General features: G+C 34.6%; 1 protein-coding gene across 12 annotated transcripts in view; it reads left to right on the top strand.

Moving 5' to 3' along the window:
- The window catches only part of DPH6 (diphthamine biosynthesis 6), a 401189-nt gene that overhangs the window by 3901 nt on the left and 378352 nt on the right, over nucleotides 1–18936 (top strand). For all 12 annotated transcript variants that reach the window (XR_001751412.3, XR_007064493.1, XR_001751413.3 and 9 more), the window contains exon 3: nucleotides 3798–3991. Coding sequence is in view for 8 of the 12 variants with exons in the window: in XM_047433263.1 (XP_047289219.1) it covers nucleotides 3798–3991 (194 nt within the window). In the remaining 4 variants the exon portion in view is untranslated. The remainder of the gene's footprint in view (nucleotides 1–3797; nucleotides 3992–18936) is intronic.

Below are 18936 nucleotides of genomic sequence, written 5' to 3'. Positions count from 1 at the left end.
AGCATTAAGTGTTTTCACTTACTTTTTAATTCTCATAACCAACTTCTATAGAGATGCACTATTAATCTTAATAGACAGGGATCCTGAAGCTTAGAGTTTGTCTGAAGTAAACTAGCACAAACTTGTAGAGTTAAGACTTGAACCTTCTTACTTCAAAGTACACTACCATTTTACCCCACCACATTCCCAAGTACTGTAGGCAGCATAGAGGTAGATAAGATACAGTCTCAGGCCTCAAGGAGCTTGAGAAGTAAGACACATATTGATAAATGATATATTAATTTTATTATTAAAAGGATACAGTTTACCTATTTTAGATGTAAGCCAGAAATGTGAGACTTGAGAGAAGCATAAAGCAATGCATTCCCACTTTTCATTTGTCTGTAGTAACAAGGGCATCCACATATAATTCACAGACCTCATATTGACTACTTTTTTCATTCTTTTCTCCAATGAAATATCCCCAATTATAGCTTTTGAAAAAAGAAATATATTCACCAATTTGCTTTTTAATGCTATTGTGTTATACCTATGAAACTACAGATATTAACTGCTAAAATGTAAGAGGGAAAAAAGATTAGCACTTTTGTGACTTTTGTATTACTGCTTCTCACAGGACTTTTCTAGTAAGATCTTTTTATTCTCTCTTTTACTTCTTTCCAGGCTCCATGTTTTTGCACTGTTATTTTAAGATTAATTAAATGAGTGGTGTATGTGAGAACATCAGTCGTAGTTCCTGTCATGAAGTAGGCATTCTGTAAATTTAGCTGAATTGGAATCTAGCTAAATACTTGTTTTATATCTTTAAATGGATTGATTATAAGCTTCTTGAGAAGAGAGATCATATCTTCTATCTTCCTTTTATTGCTCCTCATCACTTGGGCCGGCTCTATGCCTCTGGTAGGAGTTCACGCAAGGTTGATTGGTGGACAGGTGTATAATGAACTAATTTGGATTAGCCCTGGAATAGTGAGCAGTTATTTCAGTCAGATATTTGAATCTTCTTTCCTTCTGTGATTAAGATGTAAGTAATGCTGGATGTCGTGTGGAAAGACAGAGTTTAGAAATATTTTATAGGAAGAAATGGAAAGGTCCCACAGAGAGTCAGAGGTAAATGCACATGTTTGGATTTTGTGCTGCAATTGATGAGTAACAGATGGTTTTTTAGAAGTGATGTTTTTTGAAAGAGTTCCAACTTTAAGAAAGAGAAAATTCTTTGAGGATGAATAGGAACTGCACTCTAACTTCTGTATTATAAAAGAAGAAGCAGAATCTCCTGTTAGGTTTACCAAAAGAGAGAAACTCCCTTATCCCTTGTGGCCAGGGGGAGGCAACTGGGACTTTCAAGCTATCTTGTGAAGTTAAAAAGCAGATGTTTATATAGTATATAATACATACATGGTATATTATAATTTCATCACTGGAGTTTCTATCTTGTTTTCAGCTTTCACATGAATTATTTTACTTACCTAGTACAGAACCATTAATATATAATCTTCCTTGTGTTCATGGTTCACCAGCAGGGTGGTAAAATGACAAGCAAAGTATATTTTTAAATTATACCTCTCAGTAGAATAGAGACACTTATTTAGAATATTGTTAGTGAGAAAAAATTTGATAGTAAATAGAATTAGAATATTCTGAAGTAAAAAGCCTGGAAAAGGCAGTCGAAACAATAGTAATTGTTGTAGAAGAAAACAGATGGCTGTGGGTTGGTAGATGGAGATGGTTTAGCTCATCTTGATGAAAATCAGCAGGACATTGGGAATTATTGAACAATTCACTGAATGACTTATTTTCCTATGAGTGTTATGAAAGAAACCTTAGTGAGGAATGACTGGTAGAGATGACTCCAATGTCCAGCAAAGTTACGGGTTTTCAATGGGTGGTGTGAAAAGGAATTTATTCCCATCAATGAGGATAATGCGAACTTGTCATAAAATTCACAAAACCATCTCTTTAGATTTGTAGTAGGAACTTTTGTGGCATGTTAATTGAGTTGCTTCAGGCAACAGGGGAGCCTTTGGTTTTATTTGATCTCACACTATTGTTGCTCTGTAGCTTCCATTAATCAAAGTTACAATGTGGTTAGGACTAAATAGAGCCTTAAAGAAAATTATCTTCTAGGTTTTTGAAGCCAGTGAGATGTTTTACTTATTATGCTAACATCAGAATGTTTCTTGCCAAGAAGCCCAAATTTCTTTGAGTAAATTGGTTTGATTGTATCAATATCCTTTAAAATGAATGTATTTAAAGATCCAGTCTAATTTTGAGACGAGAGAAGGCCGAAAGGTTTTTAGGTAACTTTGGCTATGTTCTCTACTTCCTACTGGGACCAGGAGTGGAAACATTTATAGTAACAATGTGAGTAATATTCTGAAGGAAGCCAATCTAACAATGTGTGAGTTCAGAAACCTGTCAGCCAAAATGGGGTAGCAGATTTTGATGATTTTGATTGTTGAAGGGGCCCTTGCACTATCACTTTTCATTCCTTTTGATAGGAAGTTTTCACATTTAATGGAAAGCCTGGACCTGTTTGGCTTATATTCATACATACACACATAGGTATATGTCAAAATAACTACTTTGTAATTTTTTTAATAGCATTTTGTGAACATTTTCCATGTCATTAAATATTATTCTACGATAGCATTTCCCATATGTCTTTAGAACACAAATACCCCCATTAAATTTACGTGTTCTGTGGGTAGATAAATTTGAGAGATAGTTCATATTCTCTGCTCTTATTGGAGTACCTGAAAGCATATTAGCTTAGGAAGATTTACACCACAGACATCCATTTAACACTTTTTATCCCCATCTTTTATAGACTTCTTTAACCTTAAATCTTTTTATCATCCGATACCTATTAATGTCTTATGGGATTTGTATTCCGCAGAACATACTTTAGAAAATGTTCTTCAACATTATATTAATGGCTGCATAGTACTTTATTATATGAATATACTATAATTTCTAGTCTATTATAAATAATGTGATAAGTATCTTTGCAAATAATCTTTGTATATATTCATGATTCTTTTTCTAAAAAGTAAGGTTACGAGATCTAAAGGTCTATTCCAGTATATTTCTAAGTTCATTTATATCACCCAGAGCTCTGATGTGACTCATCTGTTTTGTATATTTTACCCATATTGATATTTGTGGAATCTTGTGACAACCACTGATTATATTATTGATTAGCTTAAGATATCATATTTCTATGCACATTTGTAACTGCTCTAATGCTCTAACAATATTGAATATATATCTATCTACATGTTTTATTATAAGGTCCTGAATATCTGAATATAAAATATACCAAAATGATCTGAAATTTTTCTTACCACTATTTGTCTCTTATTAACTAGGTAGATCTTTAATTAAGAAAGGTTTTTTTTTCTACAAGTCTAGATGACTTCATGAATAACCTTGAATGATTTGTAAAAACATTTATGTAATAAAAATATTTAACTGAATAAACTAATCAAAATTTATTGGATACATTACTCTTCTCTTTAAATGTTTACCATATATGGTACAACAAATTTATGTATTAATACATTTGTATTTGTAATTAGTAGTAGAGATTATTAGGGGTGATATGAACTAGATGCAACTACAGACAAATGTGCAATTCTTATGTTTTTATTTTACTACATAAATGCAGAGAAACATAGTATAGCAAGCTTTCAAGTTCTGTGTCGACTATTCAAGCAGTAAAACCTGGATGGGCTTTCAAATCCGCTTTCTTTTTCACTCTCTTTTGCTAATTATTTCCATTTTAATTGTTGCAGTGGGGTCTGATGAACTGGATAGCTACATGTATCAGACAGTGGGGCACCATGCCATTGACTTGTATGCAGAAGCAATGGCTCTTCCCCTCTATCGCCGAACCATAAGAGGAAGGAGCTTGGATACAAGACAAGTGTACACCAAATGTGAAGGTGATGAGGTTGAAGATCTCTATGAGCTTTTGAAACTTGTTAAGGTATGCAGAGTAACCAATTAAGTATATTGGATTTAGTGTGTAATTTAACAAATTACATTTGCCGAATTATTTAGTAATCCGTAATTTGCAATTGTTAGTAGCCCAACTATTCTTTAAAAGGATTTTGTCTTTTTTTGGTTAGAAAAAAACTGCAAATGATTAGTATGCCTTTATATTAAATGATATTTAAAAATAAGACGTTTTGTATAGTTTGGCATCCAGGATTATCAAATGATATTAAAATAAGTTTTCTGTTCCTAAGGAAAAGAAAGATTAGAGCTGATGGCCATTTAATCTCTTTATTAACAAATATTTTTTGAATGCCTACTATATGCCTGGCATATAGTGCTAGACACTGGGGATAGAATGGTGGACGCATACGTTAAAGGCTTATTCTAATGGAGCTCACTTTCTAGTGGAAGAGGACAGACAATAAACAATAAATAACATGCTTGATAGTGAAGAGTAATATGAGGAAAAATGAAGCAGAATCAGATTGCACATGATGGCAGGGCATAGCTGTGGAGGTGGTGCTACGTATGGTTGTCAAGCAAGACATTTCTGATAAGGTAACAAGTAGATGTAAAGAAAATGAGAGACTGAGCCTTGCTTAAATCTGTTGGAACAGGTATGAATTTAATGCATAAGTCACAGAATGTAAGAGTTTGGCAGCCATTTTGCACTGATTAATTTCTAGGAGCGTATATTTGGGCTCATTTATCTAATAGTTACTATACTCAGTAAATGGTAATTAATAAGGATGATTTTATATTAAGCAACTATCTTTTCATTTTTATTGATAGCCAACTATTTGAATACAGTTCAGTTATTCTTCTAAGTATGAATTTTTATTCAGTCCGTTACAATCGATTCATATAAGGCAGATTTGATGAAGTAGGGAATTCAAGCCAGTATTTCTTGATGTCTTGCCATTTTTCACAAGGGGAAGGAAAGAAGATTCCTGTCCCTTCCTCTACAAAGGTACATTGCATTTCACTTTCTCACTCTTCAGAGAAGTTCAGTTTTTTCAGAAGTTACCTCATGAACTTCTGTCATGAAAATTTTCTAGTTTCAAGTAGCTACTTAAATGACATACTTTGAGTTTCATACAAATCAAAAGTTAATTAAGGATTTTGATTTGAAAAATATATGAAGCACTGAAATTCTTTTAAAATTTGTTTGACTAAAATAGTTCTTATTTTGTATGTCAGAACATTTTATTTTATTCTAAAAAGAAACTGATAAGAAAAACCCTTAGAGTAGTTCCAAAATTTTCTGCTTAGTTATAGATAGCATAAGAAGTAGACACTTTTGAAAGGAAATCACAAGGACCTGCTTTCTTCCCTCTGGGAAGATACATGCTAATAAACATTTTGATTATCAAACAAGGTAGAAGGCTTAAAAGAATCCTACTTTTAGTGGTCATATCTCCAAAAGGGTGCAATTATGATCTTGACAGTTTTCACTTTGAAGTGTGAACTACTGAGTGTAAATCCTGCATTTTCAAAATTTCTTTCTCATGGTACAAAGAATTTGGGCATTAAGTTTTTATATAAACCAATATTATAAAATGATGAGACTCACACTAAAGTAATTGGGTTGCTTAAAAATCACAAACTTGATCACTTTGGAAGAACTCCATGATAATAACAGCCCTCCAAGAAAGAGAGATAATAAATTACAATTAATAATAAATTTAATTAAAAATGGGCAGATTAGCAATAATTAAGAAGAAATTTTCTTTTCCATCCATGCTGTCTTTGGAGAAATGGATGCTTTGCCATTATTATCTTTATGCTAACCATCAGTTATGACATAAATTAATGCTAATGTTAAATTCTTGACAACTTATGCTTTGGAAGTTTGTACATGATAATTATAGTTGAAAGATATGTTATCAAGTTGTCTGGGACTAAATAGTTCCTTCTTTTCCTGTGTAGAAATATTAATTTTACTATAGGATATTTTAAGGACATAAATATCAGAAATATATTGCTTTTATGGAAGTGATTGTATAACTAGGCTTTTATAGTTAAATTCATTTATGAAACACTGGTGCAAAGATTCCAGTGGAGGTCTTACATATTCTAATGAATAACTGAGTAATTATGAAAAAAAATGAATCTAGAAAAGCTATAATTTTTCAAGTTTGTCTTTACTTGTTCTAAGAAAAAGAAAGAACTGCATTTTTTAATCCTTTGAGTATTAATGGAGTATGGAAAGCATTTAGATTTATTTTCACTATAAACATTTATTTATAACAGGTTACAGCTTTGCAACTTTCACACATAAGTCTTGTTTTTGTAACATTTTCCCCACAAATATTAAAACTCATTTTTGAATAGATGTTCCTTTTTGCAAAGAGTTTAATTTACTAATTTCTGAAAAGAAGTAGGAAAGACTTGGAGGAACTTGTAGAGTTATGTTTCATAACTATTTTGTAGAAATTATGACACCTAATAGAAATGTAATAAGCCTTTGTCTCATAAATTAGCAGGTGACTCTGACAGCTAGAGGTATGTATCTCAAGCTGTTTGCGAAAGATTTTTCATGTGGCTAATCTTTTATTCTTTAGAATTTCTTTACTGTTAAAATGTAACTTCTGTTCTTATCTAGTTTAGTTTAATGGATAACTGTATTATTTCCTGAAAATACAGTAATTTCCAATTGTTTGTTTTCTTTTTAAGTCACGTGAGCAGTGTAATAGTTACAGAAAGATACATATAAGCACTATATCTCTATAGGAAATATATGTAGGGATTATATTCTTTCTGTTCTGCTGGGTTGGAACTACTTTCTGGATCTGATGTCTTCCTTTTTCTTGGTTTATTCCTTAGTTTCAGTATAATCTATATTTAATAAACTGCCTTAGGGGACTTTGGAATCTTTCCATTTTGAAAATGTTCCTATTCTGCTCTCATATTTTATTGATTTGGTTGAATTTAGGACTTTAAATTGAAAGTCATTTTTCCTCAGATCATTGACAGCATTGTTCCATGGTTCTCTAGCCTTTTGCTGATACTGGTGTGATTGTTGTTCCTTTTTAGGTGGCCTGTTTTTGTTCTCTGTTAACTTTTATGATGTGTCTTTATGCTTGGTGTACTGAAATGTCACAGTAATGCTGTATTGAGTGTTGTTTCTCCTGCATCGCTTCCCTAAATTCCTATTGAGTAGTGACACATCCCTTGTCCTCTTTCTCTGATTGATGGTTTGGGGATAGGCATGTAATCCAGGTGATAGCCAGTCAGAACATGGCATTCTTCTGGCCATAGTGATTGGATCAGAGATGGTTTTGTTAACCTATGTTTGTCCTAATAGAATGAAGCCTAGAATGTTGGGTAGTTGGCAGAAGATAAGCTCTTCTCCTTCTGTGCAGAGAGATGTGTGGATGTGAGACCTAAAACTGCCATAGCCATTTTTATTCTTTTGACGGGAGAAAACTTGATGTCAAATCTGATACACAAAATATTGCAAAGCCAATAGAATTGCAGTGTAAGGATGGTTCTTCCACTAGTTGTTTGATAATTTGTTCCTTTTGATTTTCTCTGTTCCCTTTTGCTGACACTCTCACTAGTCACATATGAAACCTTCTAGACTGAATCTTCATGTATCTTTATTTTTAAATGTATTTTCTATCTCAGTGTCTTTTTGTTGTATGTTCTGTGAGATTTCCTTTTAAAATTTCCCTACTTTCTTGTTAAATTTTTCTAAATTTTAACCATCATATTTTCAGTAGTCAAGAACTTTTCTTGTTTGTCCATTGTTTTTTAATAACAACTTATTTTTCTTTCTATAGATGTAACATCCCTATATCCTCTTAAAATACAGAGATTTTAAACATTGTCTTTCGTTTCCTGAAATACTGGTGTTTTCTTTTCTTTTTTTTTTTTTTTTTTGAGACAGAGTTACGCTCTTGTTGCCCAGGCTGGAGAGCAATGGCACAATCTTGGCTCACCACAACCTCTGCCTCCAGGGTTCAAGCAATTCTCCTGCCTCAGCCTCCTGAGTAGCTGGGATTACAGGCATGCACCACCATGCCCGGCTAATTTTGTATTTTTAGTTGAGACGGGGTTTCTCCATGTTGGTCAGGCTGGTCTCAAACTCCCGACCTCAGGTGCTCTGTCCACCTCGGCCTCCCTAAGTGTTGGGATTACAGGCATGAGCCACCGCTCCTGGCCAATATTGGTGTTTTCTTTGAGATGTTTTTTTTTCTTAGTTTTCTTCTCTTTCATGTTATAGGCTTTTCTCTGATGTTTTGGTTGCCTTTTCATATCCAAGAATAATACAAGAGGAAAGCTGACTGTGAATGCTTTTGACTCTAGAATTTTCCCAACCTCACATCTCACACTTGTTATTCCTGGAGTTCAGGATAGTGTGGCCTAGTTTGGTTCCTTTCTTGGCTCTGTTCTCTTCCATGCAAACAGTAGATTATGGCTGTCTGTGCTGACTGATCAGTCATGATTCCTTCTTTATCTGCTTTCTAACTTAATAAATTAATTGAAATCCTTTTTTCATTGGTTCTTTCCTTCTGTTTATTATTATTGACAGTAATAATTGAGGGATTAAAATTTTAATAATAAATATTAAATACATAAATAATAAATTTAATAATAAAAATAACAACAATTATTTTTTATTATTGACAGCAATCTAAAGATAACTAGATTCAAGATAACTAGATATAGGACCCAAATTTTATAATCAAAGTCAAGATTTTTTTGTTTTGTTTTGTTTTCTGTTTCTCTCTTACCTCTACTTTCTGTAGAGGTAAGACCTCAGTCAGGACCTTGTAATTAGGGGATGGCTCCCAGTTGTATTCTTCTTGGTTAAAATGCAGTAGGAAAAGCTCCAGTTTTCATTTTAATAGCTTAAAGGGGAAACTTAATTGATCTGACGTGTAACATATTCATGAGTCAGTTGTGGTTGGGAGAAGATGACTTTGATTTGGTAGGCCTAGATTGTGTGTCATCCTAAACTAAGAGATGGAATCATGACTACTGGGAATATGTTTACTAGGAGTAAAGGAAGGGTGAATCTCCAAATATAAATCAGGCTGTTGCTGGTAGAAGGGTGAACTGTGGCAGTGGGGACAAAGAGTAACATGTTTTCTAAAAATGTGTGGGTTTCAACTTGGAAACCATCCTAGATGATTCTTTTTTTTTTTTCGAGACTGAGTGTCGCTCTTGTCACCCAGGCTGGAGCACAATGGCACGATCTCAGCTCACTGCAACCTCCGCCTCCTAGGTTCAAGCAATTCTCCTGCTTCAGCCTCCTGAGTAGCTGGGATTACAGTTGCCCGCAATCACACCTGGCTAATTTTTTTTGTCTTTTTAGTAGAGACGGGGTTTTGCCATGTTGACCAGGCTGTTCTCAAACTCCTGACTTCAGGTGATCTGCCTGCCTCAGCCTCCCAAAGTGCTGAGACTACAAGTGTGAGCCACCGTGCCCAGCCAATTCTTCTTTTTTAATCTCTTCTCTCTTCCCTCCCTCCCTTCTTCCCTTTTTTCCTTCCTCCTCCTCTTTAAAAAACAGTTGGACATTGGGGCTAAAGCAGTGAGCTTATAGTTAAGGACCTGTATATTCAGTTGCTCATGATATTTCCACCTTAATATTCCACTGGCATGGTAAACTAAACAAATTCAAAACTTGTTTGTTATCTTCCTACACAAACTTGTTCCATATTCTGTATTTCCTTAATTAAAAGCATCATCATTTACCTCATCATCTAAGTCAAAACCTAGGCCCTACTGTGAGACTTCCATTTTTTCTCAGTCCCTTTCTCCACTCCATCCCCCTCAACCATCACCATTATAGCTCCAGCACCTATTGATAATGCTGGTATGACTTCTAAAATCTGACCCCTTGACTTCATTCTCACCACTACTGGTTTTTCATCTGTACTATGCGAGAGCCTCCTAATCAACTTGCCTTCAGTATTGCCCTATGCTCCATCCACCTCGTCTACCAAGTTGTTGGCAGCTGATCTGTATAAATGCTTAAATGACCCATGATTAAGATATAGTCCAAACACATTAGGCTAACACAGAAGGCTCTTTAAGAAGAGGGCCTGGCAGTCCTACTAGTCTGATCCTGCTATTCTCACACAAGCACCTCTGGGATCAAGTTATAATGAACTAATTAGTTTCTAGGAGATTGCTTTTCATGTCTGAGTCTTCGGCTGTGCTTTTCTTTATGCTTATCTCTTTGTCCTCCTGAAGAACCCCTTCTCACCTCATATTCTTTTGTGAAACCTGCCCTAATTTACCTTCCTCCTTTCTGTTCCATGGCAGCTTGTCTATAACTCTACTGTGGGTCTCATTGCATCATTAGGCTTGTTTTTGTGGCTGTCGCTTTTGCTAGATTGTGAGACCTCAAAAACATGATAGTGCTGTTCATTTTTGTATCTGTCCTAGCAGAGTTCCTGACATATGGAGGCTCTTAAAAGAATATTGAATATTAAAAGAATAAGTTTAGTAAAAAAATGTATCAAATTATTCCAACTTAGGCTGGGCACAGTGGCTCCTGCCTTGTAATATCAGCACTTTAGGAGGCCGAGGCGGGCAGACCACTTTCAGGAGTTCAAGACCAGCCTGGCCAACATATTGAAACCTCGTCTGTACTAAAATACAAAAATTAGCTGGGCGTGGTGGTGCGTGCCTGTAATCCCAGCTATTCAGGAGGCTGAGGCGAGAGAATTGTTTGAACTTGGGAGGCAGAGGTTGCAGTGAGCTGAGATCACACCACTGTACTCCACAGCCTGGGCGACAGAGTGAGACTCTGCCTCAAAAAAAATTTTTTTAATGTAATTATCGGATACAGGGGAGCCATGTTACTATGATATGTGATATAAAACCATTGGCAAATTCATTTTGTCTTTTGTTTTCCTATTTAGAAGCTTAAATGGAATGGGCATCATAGTGGAAGTTTTCAAAATAAGGCATCCTATCAGTGTAACCACTAACTGTACCAAGAATAGTTTCCTTCTGCACACTACTTTATGAAAATGCTGAGCAGAAACTCTTTCTAATTAGTTTTAGTATATGCATCTTAGAAAACCTGATTATGGTGGAAAATTACTTTGTGAATCTCTTTTCACTTCACTTCATGAGGGAAAAACCTGAGATTGTTGGGTGGCTCTGAGGCAAATCTGAAGGATTTGGAATGGGAGAAACATATAAGATGGACTTAAGATTTTCAGGGAGGACGCAGACATAGCATTAGTTAAACAGGCACACAGCCCTGTACAAATTGCTCCTGGCTCCTCAGAACTGCACAGCTTGCCTCAAGCCCTTTCAGTTCCCAGGATTTTGGATATTAAACCTGGTCCCTTGGCATAAGAAATGCTTTTCTAGTATTGACTCTGGACTCTAAACAGGAAGAATTGGCATTGGAACAGACCAGTGTCATTTTCACTCCCAGGTGCAGCTTTATTGAGGCTGTGCCACATCTGGTCCTTTCAGATGATAAAGTCAAGCGTGCATGAGGAAGTACATGAAGGAAGATCTGTCTGGAAATAAAATGTTGTACCATATTTGTCAATTACTATAGTTCCTAAACTTATCACAGGTTCAAAGCCTTCATCTATAAATTCCCCCTAAAGCCTAGAAAATGTGACTCCCTCATTTTGGCAAAATCATCATTCTGTCTCTTCAACCTTGAACTTTTCTCCACTTGGTATCAGTGATTGTGTGTATATATTGCACATGCACATGTATACCCTTTGTATTTATCTTTTCCCAGAGTCAGTGCCTCTCTATAAATTTATCAACTGACTTATTTTTATATCCTATATTCCTTTCTTCTACAAACTATGGATTTCTTCCTATCTTATCATCTACTCTATATATCTTACATTGTGTTGAGTATTTTTGACTTTTCTTTCAAATATCTTTCTTTATATTTTCAATCTCTAGTGTCTGTATCCTGTTGACTGGTTGGGTTTTTTTGTTTGTTTGTTTTTGTTTTGTTTTTCCTATGCTACCATTTATTTTTAAAGAAACCTTTTGTAGATGTCTCCTTCTGGAGTTGTGTTGTCTGGGATGCTAGGTGTAAGTCTCTGTCCTATAGTCTTCTACTTCATTTCTAGGCCTGTAGTTTATCTTGTCTTTGCCATATTCTTATTAAATGACTGAGAATACATTATCCAGATTGATAAGCATAAATTGCTTTATTTCTTTGTTGTTGTATATTTTTGAAGCACATGACTTTATTTGTGGTCACACAATAATAGATCCTGAACTGATTTTTTTATAACAACTTTACCTTTTAAATTGGGAACATCTTCAGTCAGCATATTTGTCGTGCCTAAATCATTAAATCGTCAAAAAAAATGATATTATTGATAAATACTTAGTGTTTTTTTTTATTTTTTATTTTTGGTTAGAAATGGTTTAATAGGAGCTTGTTCTGTGATGTGCTGATGTGGGAAAATATTGAGTGAATAAAGAGGAGTTGAATAAATGTCTTAGTTGACCTTGACATTCCTGTTGATTTTAATGTATGCTACTACTATTTTTCTTAATCCTCTTATTCTTTCATTTGTCAAACATTAATTCAATGCTTATAATGTACCAGTATTGGAAAGTAAAAACATGTATGAGGCATAGTCTTTGCCCTCACAGACCCTGAAAGGATAAGACACTTATACAGAGAAATTAATACAAGGTACAGTTGCCATTAGAGCATGCAACTAAAGGGTTATGGGAGTTCAGAGGGTGAAAAAATCCCATTTGGGGGATCAGAAGGGCGTTATGGGCAAGTTACATTTGATATCTGATAGGGTTTGGCTCTGTGTCCCCACCCATATCTCATGTCAAGTTGTGATTCCCAGTGTTGGAGTAGGGGCCTGGTGAGAGGTGATCAAATCATGGGGTGGGCTTCCCCCTTGCTGTTCTCATGATAGAGTTCTCCTGAGATCTTGTTGTTTGAAAGTGTTTAGCACCTCACTCTTCACTCTCTCCTGCTGGCCATGTGAAGATGTGCTTGCTTTTCTTTCGACTTCTGCCATGATTGTAAGTTTCCTGAGGCCTCCCTAGAAGCAGAAGCCTGTACAGCCTGCAAACCTGAGCTGATTAAACCTCTTTTCTTTAAAAACTACCCAGCCTCAGGTAGCAGTGCGAGAACAGACTAATACAATATCCTTGAAGATTATTTGGATTTTGACAGATGACAGACATTGGAGGATGGCTAAGAGAATGTTAAAAATTACCGGAAGTTCTTAGCCAAAGTCTTGTAAGCAGGAAATTATGAAATGTATTAGGGAAATAGAGTGGTTCAATTTGATTTAGGGTTTAAAGTTTGAGGAGTGGTGGAAAATAAGTCTGTAAAGGTTGATTAATACCAAAAAAGAGAGTGTCTTAAATTTTAGGTCAAGGATTGTTCAGATGGTGGAAAGCCCCTGAGATGGTATTTTCTAAACTCAATTTAATGAGTGACAACTATTTTTATAAAAAATGCAAGAGCCTAGAATATAATAGATAATATCAATATGCATTGTAATAGGTTAATTATTGTTTTGTGTAACGTAATAGATATGTACAGGCACATATGCGTATGCTAGGCTATTACATTGTATATTTCTTACTGTTCAACAAATTCTTGTGGTCATCAGGGTGAACTACTAATATAATACAAGAAATGGATTAGAGATAGGCAACTCTGTAGGTGAGTTCAAATTAAAAACTAAGATACTAGGTATCTGAAAGGTTTGAGAGCCTGAACATGGGGAATGCCAAGGGGAAAGGTGAAAAGGGGACATTCTAGAGAGATTGATTGGACTTGATGATGGTATTTAAATAAATAGTGACAAAAAGTCTATATAAGGTACCTTGTAAACTGACAATTCCACAGCTAATTTATATAGTTTTACTGAGCGATATTGGTAATCAAAATGAATTATGATAGCTATATATTATAAATATTATGATCCTATATTTTATAGCATCCTGTCATTGTCATCTCTTTAATCTGGTAAAGGATTGAATAGAAGATGCTTCATATCAATATGGGTTCATTTAATCAGAATCAGTTCTTAATACATTTTGGTCTTGGTTGTATCAACTGAAATAGTTTATCCTTATTTCTTAAAAGCACCTAGTGTGGATTCACAGAAGTAAGCAAAACTATGATATTAGTATCTTTTCAAATAATTTATATAGATGAAATTCAAATTATTGCATTATTTTTGATATGCAATTACACATTTGCCGGTAAATCAAGCAAAATATAGTCTTAATAGATTCTGTAGCCTTTTGGGCATCATAACAGATTGAACCTGGCTTTAGACCTATAAATTAATTGACCCCTTAAAGTTTACTTCTGGTCTTTCTCCAGTCTCTCATCCCCTATAATTTATCCTTTAAACTCCTGTGAGAGAGGAATCTTTCTAAAGTGTAGATTTAATCACATTTCTCTTTCCATCAGACATTCATTGCTTAGCATCGTTCTGCTAGGTGCACTGCAATATGACTTCAGTTTATTTTTTGTCTTTTCTCAGATTCTCCTACATGTAAGCTACGTGCCATCTAAACTAGACTATTGTCGGAACTCATTCTTCCCCATACGGTCCATGCCTTTCCTGAATAGTGCTGCGTTTTAGTCAGAAATAACTTCTCCTTTCCAACTCCTTCTTTTGCATGATATCTCTTTCCTGATGTCCTCCTCAGTTCACCCCACTGAATATAATATCTTCCTTCCTTAAACCCTCATGTCACATTTTAACTCTCTTGTAGTACTTAGTCTAGTTTAATACACAAAGCTAAGATTTTAAGAAAATCTATCTTGTGGGTTTTGTTTTGTTTAAAGATTATAAGTAACTTGAGGAATAGGGATTATATTTCATTATTTTTATTTCCTATGAGACTCCATACAGCTCCTAGACTATAATAGGCATTGTGTTAAACTCTACTCCTCTGGAATTCAGTTGCTCCATCTATAAAATGTGGGTATCTCTTTCTTCTTTTCTTATTTATCTGTTTTGAAAACAAATGAGAATATATTTGAGAGCCTGTCATCCTCATTTTAGCCTCAGGTCTTCTCCTTCATTCTCTAGCTTCCAGAATAATCTAGTAAAGTCATTTTTTTTCATTGCATACAGCATTCCATTAGTATATTAATATTAAGTGGTAGTTACAAGTGGGCATTGAGATGAGTGTAATTTTCTTGACTTTATTAGTAAGTTAATGCAGAGAAGAAAACGAATGATAAACGTTCAGTTGTGAAAGAGGTTTTAGTGGGGGTAAATTTATATTATAGATTGGATTGAATTGATCCTTCTACATTTGGTGCCTATAATTTTGGGCCATCCTTAGCCTGTTTTAGACTTCTTCAGTCAGATAATTCAGCCTTCCAAGAGACATGTAGAATTAATGCTTTCTAGTTTCCTATGTGAGTTAACTGAGGCATGGGCCATTTCAAAAGGAGATAAAGAGGGTTAACCTAAAGATATCAGTGGTTCTAATAGGTGATTTTTTTCCATTAAAATTTATTTTGGCATGTTCTTTTAGAATTTAACTCCATGCTTGTCTTTAAAATCTAAGCAGTATATTTTGTATGAACTCATTTGTAGAAAGCCTCAAGCAAGGACTTAAGTGTGAAAGTTAGGTGAACCAAGTTTAGAAAATTCAGACTTTTTGGAGTATATGAATTAAAAGATTTAAAAAACAGTTCTTTCTTCAGAGGCAGTAGAATGGGGCCATCATTTGTGCTCCTGTATGTAAAAGCAATTAACTCTCAACACCAGCAGAATTATGCCATACTTATTTGTATACAGTGCTGAGCCACGTGGTCACTTTGTGTACTCGTACACAGTGGGTGCTCGATGAGCAATTGTTAAACTTACCAAAATTAAGCCTATCTAACTTTGACAAAATTATGCTAATATTGATCCCCATAGATATCTTTCAAAAGACATTGACAATCAGAAAAGGCAGAAACTATCAGACATTTATTTGTCTTTCTTGTGCAGAATTTGCTGATTCTTCTGTACTCCCTACTATAAGATTGGTTTTGGAGCCATTGAAATGCCCCATGGTCTATTTTAAGACCAGTTCTCTTACGGATTCTTTCCTAGGTAGTAATTTTGCAGGGAGGTGGGAAGGGAGGGAGAACAATGATCATTTGATAAATAACCCATGATCTTCCCTTTGAGCCTTTCATGATTTATCTCTTTAAAACATTTTTATTGGCCTGATAGCCATTTCTTGTGACATCTTTAACCCTTATCCAAGTTCTTCTGATTTTCAGTGGTCATATATCCTGGACGTAATTACAGAAAGCATTATAATAAGGATCAGACTAGTAGATTTCATCTAGGATAATGCACTACTTTAAGATAGGATTTATTAATCTGGAAGGGAGAGGTATTCTTGAACTATGAAATTTTATGCAAATGTTTTGTAGGTGTAAATTTTTCTGGGAGAGGAAAAATGTTTTTTGAGATAGGGTCTTATTCTGTCACCCAGGCTGGGGTGCAGTGGAGCTATCGTGGCTCACTGCACCCTTGAACTCCCAGGCTCAGTTCATCTTCCTGCCTCAGCGTCCTGCATATCTGGGACTACAGGTGCATGCAACCATGGCCGGCTAATTTTTGTATTTTTTTTGTAGAGGTGAGGTTTCATCATGTTGCCCAGGGTGGCCAATTTTTGTCATAGTCTTACTATGTTCTTTTCAAAAGTTTAACAGCTACTATTTTAACCATCACTTTCAGAAAGCCTTGTAGCCTGGGAGTATTCATGAATACTCAATAATTAGTTGTCCCCTGAGCTTGTAACACATGCTATGCTATGTGCTATGAGATCAGATGGGTCTTCTGGGGCTTCCAAAGAGTGAAGAGTCACATGAGGTAGATCCTGAGAGCAGACGAGTATGCTGTGCATTTCTCAAGGAAGACATTAAGATCTAAAAGAGAAGGGAGTATAAAGCATCTTAAATTTCAGGTAAGAAGTGATGGGGGCCAGGGATGGGACAATAGGCTTGGGGACATGGCTTGTTCTAAATAGCCTTTGGATTTTATGTTGAAGGAGAGAAGAATAGGGATGTAATCAAGGCATTGCTCTTGATTTCCTCAAGTGTAGCTTTTGTTTTTAAAAATTTCTATTGCATTATTTACTTTTGTGGGTACTTATTATGACTTGTTTTATGTAATTATTTGCATTTGTAATATATTCTCCCTGTTAGTTTATAACCTCATGAGGGTAGGAACTGAATGTTTTTCAAATTTGAATACTCTTCAGTGCTCATCATGGTGCCCTGTCCATAAGAAGTATTCAAATTTTTTTGTTGTGTATTTCCTCCAGAGATGATGTGAAGGATTTTTATATCAAATAGTCAACTTTATGGTAATCCAAGGGAGAAATTTCTCTCAGGACTTAGTATTTGTAATAGTTTAGCCTTAACATAACTATTTGATAGTTTTTATTGCATGAACGCTGTAAATCATGCAACTTAAAGTTTCCTCTTTATATTGATTGCTGGAAAACCCAGAGCCATGTGATTTTCTTTCAGTTTTCTGTGACTTATTGTAATTATAATTGCAATTTATGTAGCACTATCTTCTAGATAACTGCTATAAGCTCTATACACATATATTCTAATTTTATCCTTACATCAACCCTTTGCAGATAAGTAAACTGAGATACAGAGAGGTTAAGTAACTCATCCAAGGTTACACAGCTAAAAAGTGGTAGAACATGTACTTTTAATCACTATGTTCTGCTGCCTCCCAGAATTGCATTTGTGTTAATTCATGCAGATATTACTATATTACAGTACATATATAGTGCATACATAAACCAATAAGGTATGTGTAAATTGACAATGAGGCGGAGGGGAAGGCATATGGTTTGATAAGGGGTTAGGGTTATTAAGTCAGGGATCAAAGTGATCTGTCTGTGTCTGATCTTGTTTCAGAGCTCTCAGAATAATTTTAAATAATTACTACTCAAAGTGTGGTCTAGGGATTAGCCTGGTGCTAGTCCATGAAGTGTTTTGTTCAAGACAAGATATATAGAGAAATTCAAAATAAGCATTTAGAAACTTTTATAGTAATATGAAAGAGTAATTTTGTTTCTTTTGAATCTAATAATAAAAATTTGACCTTGTATTTTGTATCTTTTAAAAATGTTAATCTTTTAATTCATTTTGTTGTATTTTACAAGTTTCTATCTTTGAAGGGTTGGAAATGTAAAAAAAAAAAGTGGTTTATAACACAGTTTGAGAAGCACTGTTTTAGGTAATAGCTTTGCAAGTTTTTAAACTGGTTTGTTTGAAAAAGAAAAAAAAAACCACGATCTGTGGTTTGAAATTGCATTTTAATCTAAGCCTGTTTCTGAAGATGTATTAGGAATTAGTAATTTGGGTATTGGCAACTTTCATGGTTCTGTGAGAAGAGGCCCTAAATTGAATTGATTTGGATGGGTGGAGGGGGACATTTTTCATTTTTGTCTTACACTTAGTGCTTTTCTCAAAAGTGACACATTTTAATTAAATTCTTGATTCAAGATAATAGCATGAGGAACTTGTCTGTCATCCATAGTTACAGTCTCCTTTCTTGACTTATCATAGTAGCTAATAAAGCAATTCCAATTTTAGTATGCTTATAATTGTTCCTTGGAATAACAGAACAGTAAAAAGAACAACAGAACATTGCTGATGATGCCAGCTTAGTATCATAAGTTTTTCCATTTATGGAAAGCAAAGGTAGCTTCAGAGATATATTTGCAATCCCAGTTCAGTTTTTAATTTTTCTTTTTCTTTTTGGATAAGTTGGGAAGTCTTGTTCTATAATATAATGTTATAAAATAGGTTCATGTAAAGCTACCAACCTTAATAGGATCTTTTAATGTTCATACAGTTAACATCTCTTCTTTAAAATAATCTCTTATTGGTGGGATTAGTATTCAATGGGGAATTCCTCACTAATTTTTGGATATTATTATAAAAAGCAT

The sequence above is a fragment of the Homo sapiens genome, chromosome 15 (assembly GCF_000001405.40).
Source record: "Homo sapiens chromosome 15, GRCh38.p14 Primary Assembly".
In the NCBI taxonomy this organism is placed as follows: Eukaryota; Metazoa; Chordata; class Mammalia; order Primates; family Hominidae; genus Homo; species Homo sapiens.
This window is presented reverse-complemented; position numbering and strand designations above follow the sequence as displayed.